At 43.1% G+C, this 12,630-nt stretch overlaps 1 protein-coding gene across 4 annotated transcripts in view; it reads right to left on the minus strand.

Annotated features, from left to right (window-relative positions):
• Positions 1 to 12,630, minus strand: part of APBA1 (amyloid beta precursor protein binding family A member 1) — a 245,482-nt gene that overhangs the window by 151,814 nt on the left and 81,038 nt on the right. The window lies entirely within an intron of this gene.

Raw genomic sequence — 12,630 nt, forward strand, 5'->3', positions numbered from 1 at the left:
CTACATAAAGGACATGTTCCTCAAGGTATTGGCTCTCATATATTCATTTGCTTTATGCGGACTTTAACTATAGGAGGAATGTCTGTATTTTTCTGTTTCATTTTTTAACCAGTCCAATTCCTCATTTACAATGAAGGCAGGAGCTACATTTTATATTCATCTATGTGAGAGTAAAATGATGCTGTTACCAGCCCCATTTTATTGCTGAGGACTTTGAGGTTATAAGAAATTATGTAATTTGGCCAAGGTCACACAGCTAGTAATGGAAGGGGCTGGGGAATCAAACCCAGGCAGTCTGGATTTTAAGCCAATGTTCTTAAGCATCTCACCAAAACCGTCTTGGTGCTCACAAAGTGGTAGGTCACAATAATGCATGTTGCCGGATTCCTGTAAATATGTTATAATTGAAATAAGATGGAAAGAGGAAAACAAGTGGGTCAAGGAAGAGGAAGGAGAGGACAGAAAAGAGAAAAGCCAATTTGGAAATAGATCTAATTTGATTCTTGCTCATTTTATCCCATTTGTCAAAAGTCACTTAGCCACAGGAGTGGTTTTTATAGCTGTGCACACACCTAACTGTATCAGTCAGCCTTTGACCCAGAGATGCGGTTATCTGTAGCCCCATATGGATATTTTCCTACTTCCTTAAAAAAAATGTAGCTACATCTGGCTGTGGATACAGTTCTCAAAATGCAAGTTCTAATTTAACAACAGATGTTTACTGGGCAGCAAAGACAGCCAAGAACATGTGAGGAGATGGGAAGCTGTGGTCTGTGTCCTTGAGGAAATCATTTTAAATACCTGGATGGCCCACTGGTGCTGTTTTGCTTGCCAAACGTTATTGATTGGTTGCAGCTGCCAGAAGCCTTCTATCGAGGATTCGGAGCCTGAATCTGGGCTTAATGGGTGAGTGCTGTTGTCCATGAGCAGTGTCTGCCAAGGGCACAGAGGATGGGTGGTTTCAGGGTTAACACTGAGTGGGTATTTAAATATTAATTCCTTTACTTCAGATCAAGCCCTAGCAACCTTCATATTGAGCAGAGCTTCACTGCACCAGCTTTTCCTCACCCTGCCTGAACTCAGGACAGAGGACAGACACTGAGAAAGGAAGATGGACTTTGCCTGAAGGGTAAAAATCAATATTCCAATGGTCATGACCAACCCTCCTGGCCCGTGTCAACAAATCCTATTAGCAGTGATTAGTACCCTATTATTCTGGCAAAGCCCTAAATATCTCCTCATGGTGGTATGACATTATCTGATTGGCTAGGACTCTTAGTGAAGTTCAACCACAGCACAGTTATTTTTTGCTGTAGGAAACTTGCTGACAGGCTTCCTTTGAAAAACCAAAAGCGTGAAATGCTTTTCACTCCACTGAACGGTGTTCCACATGACACATACTGATTGAGCCTACAGAATCCTGTGGCTATATAAAGTACCTTCAGCTCCCCACTACATAAACTTCGCATATCCCTCTCCATGTCACCTTGGCAGCTTGACAGGGTTGTTCTCAAGCAGCTAAAATGAAGACCCATTAGGAGCTAAAGAGCTATCCCTAAACTGAATAGCTGAATTGCTTTTGAAGGCCCCTGATGGGTATTCTGACCTGGATCCATCTTTGCCATGCCTCTGTGAGCCTCTGATATCTTATATCATTTATAGCCAGTCATTTCCTGAGCAGCAGGGGACACAGATCAAAGATGGCCCCAATCAGAGATACCATGGATACACCCCACAAACGGCGTCATCTCCAGACACCCTTTTCTGGCATTGTAATTTACTGGTACATCTGACCTAAATCAAATTCAGGCTCAATATAGGCCACTTAAATGGTATCAGTCAAAGCAAGGGTGTCAAAATGCATTTTCCCCTCACCCTGCCCTGCAATTTCTTCACCTTGGGATTATATGTTTGCATGGCCACTACTATTATTTCTGTTGCAAGTGAAAAGTAAGAGCAGCCCCTGAGATTCACTGATAAAACATCCTTGACATTTACCTTAGTGTATTCAGAAATATTAGCTCACTACATTTCTCTGAAGGTAGAAAAAAAAAGAAGTTCTGCCTCCTTTGGAAAAGTCACATAGTACAAGGGGATAAATTATTTTGTGAGGGAAATATACTGCCTTCAGGTGTGTTTGCGGGGGCAGAGAGTTGACTACGTGAATCATTCACACTTCAAGTACTCTCATATTTTGTCTTTTGAACTTTGGTTTCAGGATAAGAAGGCAGAGACATGACTAGCCTAGAACAGTATCGGCACACAGTAGGCACTAAATAACTAATGAGTGAAGGAAGGAGTCTTCAGGAAGAATATTCCCCACTGACAATGCCCTAGGGAATAAGCGGGGCATGGGGGAAGGACTATTGCACTGAGGAAGAGCAGATCTGAATTCAAATCCCACCTCAGTTACCTCCCAGCTATGTGACCCCGGTCAAGTCACCTCAGCTGCTGAGCTGAGTTTTAGTCTCTTTGAGGGTAATTTGAGGATAAGGACAAGGGCCTGGCTTCCCTCTGAGACATTTTGTGAGGGCACACTGTGGAGGCTGAAGGCACTCTGTAAAAGAGTGACCACAGCCCAGTATGGTCTAGTGGGTTGATAGAGTCCCAGATCCAAGGCCAATGTGTTAAGTGTCCTCATGGGACTGCAATAGCTTTTCACAGGCAGCTAAACTGTGTGTTGCTGTGTTGATTCTTCCAAAAGGTCTGAAGACCTTTTTTAGTGATTACCAAGTTATTTACACAAATTTATTTACACAATTTACAATTATTTACTTCTCTTCTGAAAAGAGAAGCTACATTTTCAGTCAATAGATACACCTATTCTAAGTGGCTTTGGGCATCTAACCGAGCACTTAACACATCAAAGTGAGTCATAATTTGTTTTCTGATTTAAATGATCAGATACAAAGTAAGATAAACAAACAGTGGGAGGCTCGCTCATAAGTAAGTTCCCCTTTTAGGCACTCCAGGAGTCCAAACAAAGAAGTGAAATCTCACACTTTCCTACCTGCTTCTACTGCGGGACGGGTCGCTTTCTCCACCCTGGACAATTAGATAATGAGATAGTGATGCAACAGCCTATCAAACCAAACCACAGACAAAGGAATGTGCAAACTGGGTATTCTTGCAGATTTTAGGCAAGTTGTCTGCTACTCTTTCCTCTGGCTCAATATTACTTCCCATTCCACCTCCCCAGTTTCTTCTAGCCTGGTACCTGCTTCTGACTCTGTCAAAATGGGGGAAATACCACTGATTTGTCCTGCTTGCTCCTTTGGCATCCTCTCTGCTTCTACCCTACTGGCTTTATCTTCCCATTCAGGCTGTTCCCATTTTGGTCCCACTTCACCAGCCCCACCCACTCCTGGTGGCTCCTCCTTCTAATGGGGACTTATTCTTCCCCATTACTTGCTCATTTCCTGCCTGAGCTTGTTTGCCCAGTTCCTTCCGCTATGAAAGTGAGAGGAGATCCATCAAGCTGGAAGCTGTCATGTTCACATAGAACAAATCCTGTGTAGACTCACTATGTATTTGTTGAGTGAGTGGATGAATGAATGAAACAAATGAATGAAGAAAAATACAACCAGCTTTGTAGGGTAAATGCACTTGTCAGCAATCACTTGAGCATACCCTTAGAATGATCCTGTATGGAAGCTGTATCTGAATGTGTGTTCTGAGCTAAGGAATCTGGTATGGCCAACCCAGAGATCTGTTCTTTGTCTATGAGGAACATCTGAGCCCCCAGGCTGTCCTGTGGAACAGGCGCAGTACAGGCGATTGACCCCTGTGATTTGGATTAAATGAATTGCCAGGTGGAGGTCATTAGGGGGAAGGTATTAAGTGGAAATGCTATATAGACTGCATGCTGCTTGCAAGCAGTTGTGGCTTTCCCACCCAGTCCACCACCACTGTTGGTTATCTAGTCCAGCCCACCACCACTGGACTCTGTCCGCTCTATGTGAGCCCCTAAAAAAACCCCAGGTCTCCTTTGCTGGCTCTCGGTCTCTTCTTCAGCCCCTTGAACCTAGTGCCTTCCCTATTGAGGTTAATAGGGGTTCAACACCACAACCCTGTACAGAAATCCTGAGTGTTCATAGCTGTGACAACTGGGACTTATCTTAAATCTAGTACTGAACCACAAAATTACCTGTCAGCAATCAGACACTGTTCTTAAGAATTCTATCTTAAGCTCCTGTATCTCAAATGATTATACTAAAATGATGTTATTAGAGCTAACTCAAGAAAATTATCCAGCAAATGAATGGGATTTAAAATGTTAAAAATCATCTTAAAAGAGATTTCTAATTATACAATTTTAAAAATTACCAGAGTTTCTACCCTAACCATGCCCTGCATTTCATGAGAAGCCTTAGATAGCAGCAGTTTTCATGGCTGACCTCCTCTGCCCCAATTAGGGATCTTGTGATACTGCGGAATCATTAAAAGCTCTGGCTTTGTAGCATGCACGAGCCAGCTGGGGAACCCCAGGCAAGTACTTAGCCTCCCAGGCTTCTATCTCTTCATCTCTTGAATGTGGATAATGGTACCTAATGTGAAGGCATGAGATGAGGATTCAAGGGCGTAATCCATGTAAAGTGCTTAGCACAGTGTCCAGCACATAGTGAGTGCAGAATAAATGCCAGCCGTTTTCTATGTGTAAATGCTTTTCTATCAGGCAACTGAGGAATGGCTAAGATTAGTAATCTCTCCAGCTGTGAGCCACACTCCCTTCTTGTGTGTTTCAAAATAAACTTCATGTCCCTGGCTCCAGCTTTTCTCTCCCAACTTCTGCCAGTGAAAGAAAATATTGATTAATCCCAAATAAAAATATAATGAGATAGATATGTATGTTTCCATCCATATGTGTACATCTCCGTGTGTGTGTGTGTGTAAAAGTATATTTATCATACTGTCTCCTCTATAAGACTGTGAGTTCCTAGAGGGTGGTAGTGGATGAAAAAGGTTAACATTTGTTCAATGTTTTAAGTGTTTTGGCTGTATTAACTCATTTTATCCTCACATTAAGCCTATGAAGCAGTCAACATATCTATCCTCTATTCACTCAATAAATGAAGACATAAGTGATGTTTACTAATGTACCATTATAGGCTGTGTAGTCTGATGGCTAAGGATGCTCCCAGATCCTTTACTTATTAGCAGTATGACCTTAGGCAAGTTACTTAACCTCTCTGTGCTCCAACTTCTCCACAGGCAAAATGGGAAGAAGAATCATGCCACGTACAACTATTACAAAGATGAGCTGATACACTTAGAACAGTGCCAAGTACAGAGTAAGCATTCAGTAAATTATAGCAAACTTTAACATAGGTCCATTTTAAAAGGGGAAATAATGCCCTTTCAATGAAGTGAAATCCATCCCACTGATTATAAATACAAACAAGCAAAGCTTATATTCTTGTAGGAAAATGAGAAGGGTCAAAGTTTGAATGACATAAAAATCCAAATTACTCTTAGAGTAACTAACAAAACAAAGGAATGATCATTTCATTATGTCCAGGATGAATTAGTCATAATTTGCCTACCATATCCAGAGAAAACTTCTGATTACTTAGCACAAACCCATGAATTATCTCATTTGGGTATAATGTGTCTGTGGACAGATTAGAGCCAGCCAAGCCCACAAGAATGGAATGTTGACTTGCTTATTCATTTATTCACATTTGTTCACTCAACAAACATGCTGAGCATCTATTATGTGACAGACACTGTTCTTGGCACTGGGAACCCAGTAGTGAACAAAACAAAGGCCCTGCCCTTGGGGAGCTGACAATCCTTTTAGGTGATATAAACAGCAAACAAATAAATACATAATATGTCAGGTAGTGAGAATGCTATATCTAATTAGGAAATTTGCATTTGAAAAATTATCTGCTCCTTAAAATACTAAAAGCAGAGGAGAAAGACTTAAAGACTAAAAAAGTTGCTGAACCACAATAATCTGTAAGGTGAGTCAACTTAGCTACTGACCCAAAACCTCTGCCAGGATCCTCTAAATGACAACAGAAGAGATGATAAGAAGAGACTGAGGCTCAAGGAAAGGGGTGTGTGCCCGCTTCCTTCATTCTTGCCAGGGCCAAAGGCTGGCCTAGCCCAATGTGCCCTGGAGAGAAGGGGGATGCCTCATGGGCCAGACAAAGCTGTGGCTTTGAGTCCCAGCTTCTGCATCTCTCCCTTGGCCCAGGGGTACCATCTGACTCCAGCTGTAGGCTCAGGCCACCCAGGTCCCCACAATTCAGTCCTGACCTGCTGCTGGTGGGATTTCTGGAGCTCTGGTCTAACATACAGGGCCCAGTGTCCAGATCCCCTTGACTGTTTCTGATCTGTACTCACGGTATGAAAAGTGGACTCTCTCCCTGTTCATAAGACTTATATCCTAAGCAGTGACTCATTTCTGGTGATGGAATTTCTATTTATTCCCTGTACCAAAGCCCATCTGCTCACCTGCTGAGCATTCCTGTACTCCTAGGACTTGGGACCATCTGCCTTTCTCCTGCTTATCTCATCCCCAAAACCCAAATCCAGCCTCTCATATGGCCCTGGGGTGGGCTCTGCGACCTGCTGGCAACCTGTCCTGGCATTTTTAAGTTGAGCCTTATTCTAGACTGCCCACCTATGAATATGTTTGCCTCGTCACTTCATGATGGAACCTGTTGCAATGACCAATTGTCTGGCCCATGGATTTTACTCTGCTGTCATAGAACTCCTGAACCCTTACTGCAGCTGCTCAACAGGATTTCTGCTGGGGCAAGCAGCTAGAGCCATCACTCAACACCCATCCATACATAATAACCACTATAAAAACAGATCAGTATGCTTCTAGGGCTTGGCCTTTACAGCAACTAACTCTACGTGCTGAATGTTGTGTCCAGATTGACTATTGGCATCTCCTTGCCCCTTACTGTATACAAGCAGCTCAGAATCAGATCTCCCTATATTATGCTGTGATTGTTTATACATCTCTTATTATCAGAGTTTCTATTTTTTTGATATGTATTTGATGCTGAACCTGAGGGCTAGCACATCACGGTCTCAACACATATATTTGTTGAGTGACCATAACTCAACAACGGCTGGCCTCCAGTTGACTGACCTCTGAGGTTTTCCTTGATTCAGCCCATACCTGAGCTGAAATCATGATAACCTGGCTTTTGGGCAGGGGATTTTTAAAGCCAACCTCTTTGTGGAACATTCTTCATTTTCTTTCTCTAGCCACAGTTTGGTGCTCTCATGAGGACACTGCTTCCCTTGTAAAGGTCTCAAATGGTGGTGGTTTCTTTACACAGCCCTTGTTTTCCTGGACTAGGAGGAACAGTTGGTGTCTTCCTTAATTCCCAATGCTGCTTCCAGATCATCCTCTCCTTGTTGCCTAAAAAATGAACTATATCTGCATTTTCTAAGAACTCTGTAGAGGTGGGAAATATAAGGGAAGACCTGGCTGCCCATTACAACTAACAACCCCAAATAAGTACTTTTTACTAGAATGAAGCCACTTAGCTCTCTCCTTAGTCAACAAAAAAATTCAGCCTAAAGTATGATGAAGCAAAGAACCAAGAGTTCCATATACTTTAAAAAATAGTTTGGCTGTATGTGCTTCTGGTAGAGACCATTGTCACTAAAGGTAATTCAAGAAGAAAATATGGTCCATTGATCAGAGTGTTTAGAATTGTATATTGTTGGTTGATAAATCTTATATGCTGTTGTAGTGAACATTTTTGTCCTTTTTTTGCCACTGGCATCCATTCATCCTACTTCCCACAAGAGCTTTTTAAAGCTTCATCCATTCCCAGTCTCAACTCACTATGGTTCAATTGCCTCCCCATCCTCCAAATTCAGTGATGGAGAACACAATAGTGGTCCAAGGTAATCAATGGGTCACATTCCTTTCATCACAGTAATTGGTTCTGTGATGGGCAGGTGCCCCAGAGTCTAGAAGACTTCCACTGGGGCTTCCAGGAAAGAGCCTCATTGTTTATTTGCCACTGTAAGCAAGAGGACAGCCTATCTGAGAATGTGGCCAAACTGAAAGAGAATCCAGAGTTGGAGAGAGAAAAACTGGAGATTGGTGTCATTGGTGTATCTGTAAGCCACACACTTGGACTTTCAGTTACATGAGCTGTGGAAGTCAAAGATGTGTTTGCCACACTGTTTCATCTTCCTGAGCACATGAGAAAATGACATTTCTCGGCATCCCTTGCAAGTAGGTTCGGTATATGAGACTGAAGTCTGTCTAAGAATTATGAGTAGAAGTGATGTAAACCACTTCCAAGCCCTCTCCAAAAAACATCCAATAAGATTCTCCAGTACTTCCCCACGACCCACCTTTGGTAGCAGCCATGGAGATGTTCCAGAAAAAATAAAAGAATGTACTGTGATATTGGCCCGGCGTGGTGGCTCAAGCCTGTAATCCCAGCACTTTGGGAGGCTGAGGTAGCCGGATCATTTGAGGTCAGAAGTTTGCGACCAGTTTGACAAACATAGTGAAACCCCGTCTCTACCAAAAATACAAAAAGTTAGCTGGGCATGGTGTTGGGTGCCTGTAATCTCAGCTACTCAGGAGGCTGAGGCAGGAGAATCGTTTGAACCCGGGAGGTGGAGGTTGCAGTGAATTGAGATTGTGCCATCGTACTGCAGCCTGGGTGACAGAACAAGACTCTGTCTCAAAAAAAAAAAAAAAAAAGAAAGAAAAAGAAAGAAACTGGGTGGTGGGTGAGGTAGGTGAAAGAAGCAGTGTCAGGGAAGACCTCTTTGTGGGAATGACATTTGAACAGATACCTGATATGCAAAGGCAAGCAAATAATGAAGCTACTGGGGAGAAAGAAAGAACGTTCCCATTAGATGAAATATCTAGTGCAAAGGCCCTCAGGTAAGAAAGGGGTTGGCATATTGGAGAAACAGAAAAGGGGGCAATGTCATTAAAAAGCTTATTGACAGTGGGAGAATTAAAGAGCTACAAATGAAACGCAACAGACAATGGTGCCTTGGACCAGAGTGGTAGCAGCAGAGATGGGAGAGAAATAGGCAAGTTCATGATTTTTTTTTTTAAGAAGCAGCAAAGACAAAACTTGTTTGTTGGTTGGAAATCAAGGAAAAGAAAAAGGGAGGAAATCAATGATGTCCCCCAAGTCTTTGGTTTTAGCAATAACATGGTGATGCCATTTAATCAGTTGTGAAGATGAGAAAAAAAAACAGTTTGGAGAGGAAAATAATCAGCACTTCCATTTTTTGGACATGTTAAGTTTGATCTGCTTGTTAAAGATCCATGTGGAGATGTCAACATAGACATCAGAGCTTACAAGTCAGAGCTTAGTTCCTCTGCACCACAATGATGATCACGATTATGGCAACTAATATTAACTGAGTACGTATCATATGGCAGGCATTATGCTAGGAGCTTTACATAGATTATCTCATTTAATCTCACCACATCCCTGTAACTAGTGCCTCCAATTTACAGATGAAATTGAAGCTCATACTTCCTTGCCAACATTAACAAGGCTACTAAGTAAATAAGCAGTACAGTTCTACCTTATATAGCATGAGACCTTGCTCTCTATAAGGGGCTTGAGGGGAAGAATAGTATCTTCTCATGCTTTTTTGTTTGTTTTCGAGACAGGGTCTGGCTCTGTTGCCTAGGTTGGAATGCAGTGGCACAATCTCAGCTCACTGCAACCTCTGCCTCCCAGAATCAAGCCATCCTTCCACCTCAGCCTCCTGAGTAGCTGGAACTACAGGCACACACCACCATGCCCAGCTAATTTTTGTAATTTTTTTTAAAGATGGGGTTTTACCATGTTGCCCAGGCTGGTCTCAAACTCCTGGGCTCAAGCGATCCACCTGCCTTGGCCTCCCAAAGTGCTGGGACTATAGGCATGAGCCACTGCTCCCGGTGTGTCTCATTCTTGATATCCTCAAAGCACTTAGCAAAATGCTTTGTACTTAGAAGATAATCAATCACTGTTGCTTGATTCCATTGCTCATGGGAAAAGACCAAATGACGTGATGCTAGGCCCAGACAGAGAAGGCATCCACTCTAATTCTTCTTTCTCTGCTCTTTCCATGTAACAAGGGGTTTCTGACCCATGGGCTCCCCTTCCTCTCTCACAACCACTTAAAGCACTATACAGAGGGATGTGTGCAGTGTATCATGACAAGATTTGGAGCATGAAATCACCAGAAACAAGGAAGGGTGGGGGTCTCAGTACCCAGCTTTCATTCAGTATCTCATTTAGCCCATGGTTTTCTACTGGGTCTTTCAGGTTATTGGGGTAGTCTTTAGTGTATTAAAGCCAAAACTCATTCTGTGCCCTGCCCCCTCCTCAATTCAGTTAGCTTTCAAAACAAGCTGAAATCGTGAACCGGAAGATCTGAGATCCTGATTGAATCAGATTCAAACAATTTAAACTGGGATTGGCTTTTCTATTTCTCTCTGGCCAAACATTTTAGGTCCATCTTCTACTTGATGAAATAGAAAAAGAAAAATCCAAAATACTCACTGTATATTCTACCTGCAATTTTAAGAGAAATGATGGTACTGAATTAAAGGTGAAGCCCCTCCTGCTTCTCTATGGAGGAGCATGAGGACTTGGTTTGGTAGTGGAAGCACAGCAGGTGGGGCTCATGCCGCTCCTCCTCTGAGCTGCTCTTTTCACCCTCCTTCCCAAAACTCACCCTTGCCAGTCCTTTAAGCCTCAGCTCCAATGACACCTGCTTCAGCACTCCTGGGATGGTCCACATGCTCTTCCTCTGAGTTTCTATCCCTGTGCTCATTCCTCTCTTCATTTTTTAAAAATAACAAGATGTACTATCAATGTTTCTCCCTCCCTCCTAGACTATGAGTTCCTCTTGGGGTGGGAACATGCTTTACCTATTTTAGAAACCCCAGGGCTTAGCCCAGTTCCTGGCAGATCCAGCGAGGTTCAAATAAATAGCTGTTGAATTGAATGGTGAACAGAGTGGCATTGTGTTAGGCGAGGAAACAGTATCCTGTGGACATGGGAGACTTTGGTTCTAGTCCTGGCTTTGGGCCGGCTCCTTATGTGCTGCAGGGTAAGCTCCTTACCCTCCCTGGGTCTATTTGTTCATCAGCCAAAATAATGAGGCTGGACCAGCTCAGCTCTGGAGGCCTCACAGCACTGGCACTGAGCAATCTGTGTGTGCAGATGGGAAAGCAGCTGAGAATAATGCATTCACATGGGCTGGCTCTCGAAGGCCTTCACCATTAATCACAATTCTCCAATCTGACAAAATCCCTCCCCAAACGATCTCAAAAGGATGCTGCACACAATGAAGGAGAAATAATCACCCTCAATTTCCAGAAAGAGAACCGTGCTCTAATGCCCACGAATTGTGTCAGTCTTTTTCTGGCCATGTGCATACACTGTGCTTCCCCTGGCTTCTCACTCCCAGCTTCGCCAGGGTGGGGGTGGGCAGGGGACATGGCTGGGTACCCAGCAACAGTGGGTTTCTGCAGACAGCTAAATGGCATAGAGAATATTCTGCATGTTTTAATCTTCAGTTCTGGTTCCAAACTCAACTTGAAAACCAAAGTCCTAAGAGAAAGCTAATGGCTTTCTGCTGAAAGTTTTCTGCCAAGTGCAAATCTGAATAGACCCGTGAAGAAAATCCTTTCCCACTGTTGCCATGACTCCAAGAGGTCCCCCGTACCATGGTCCCAAACTGTGGGAGGAGGTGAAAAACTGCATGTGATGCTTCCCTCCTGAAGCAGAGGCAAGGCAGCCGAGGGAGGAGAGAGGCACTGCCTATGAGGCCCCATTTTTCCAAATGCTTTCAAGGCAGAACTTCCGATGTGAGGTCCTGATGATGTCCAGTTAACTGCATTTCCCCCTCTCTCCAGGTGCCTCTTTTCCCCTTCTCTTTAGTTCTCTGTCTTTTCTGAATCTAGCCTTCCCCTGTGGATTCCTGAATCCACAATCAATACAGAGCTCTTCCAGTGGAATAGTAGTTTATACTTTCAAATACAGATGGTTGACAAATATTCCTAAATGTCTTAATGTATAAGATATCCAGTCTCTTCGATTAAGTACACATCTGAAAGCCAAGAACCATGTCTGCCACTTCTTCTGAATGCTCAACATAGAAGCTTGTCAACAATATGAAGGGAACCAAAATTCCCTTCAAAGACAGTTGTTAAGTTAAAGACATTGAAAATGCAGGGTAACACTCTGCCTCAGCCTGTAACCACCTGATGGCAGGGCACGAATCCTTCCTTCCTGGAGATGGCACTTCTCGGCCCAGAGGAGGCACCAAGCTGGCACCAGAGGAATCTGGGAACAGATTTTAGCATCTTCCCTCATTTTCCCGCCTTTTAAAACACCGCAACTGTTCTCTCTTTTGTCTTGTCACTATGTAGGATTTACAGATCCGTTAAAATACTTTTAAAGCAAGGCCCCTAAGCCACTGCCTTGAGAGAGAAATGCTTTTGAACCGAGGCCTTTCCCATGTGATAGGTACAGTGCATGTTAATAAACTTTTGCATGCTTTTCTTTTGTTAATCTGATTTTTGTTTTCAGAAAAGTGTCTCAGCTAAGAACTTTAAAAAAGGGGAAAAAAAGTCTGTTTTCTCCCCTAAATATATCTATCCAACATCAA

The sequence above is a fragment of the Homo sapiens genome, chromosome 9, assembly GCF_000001405.40.
Source record: "Homo sapiens chromosome 9, GRCh38.p14 Primary Assembly".
NCBI lineage: Eukaryota > Metazoa > Chordata > Mammalia > Primates > Hominidae > Homo > Homo sapiens.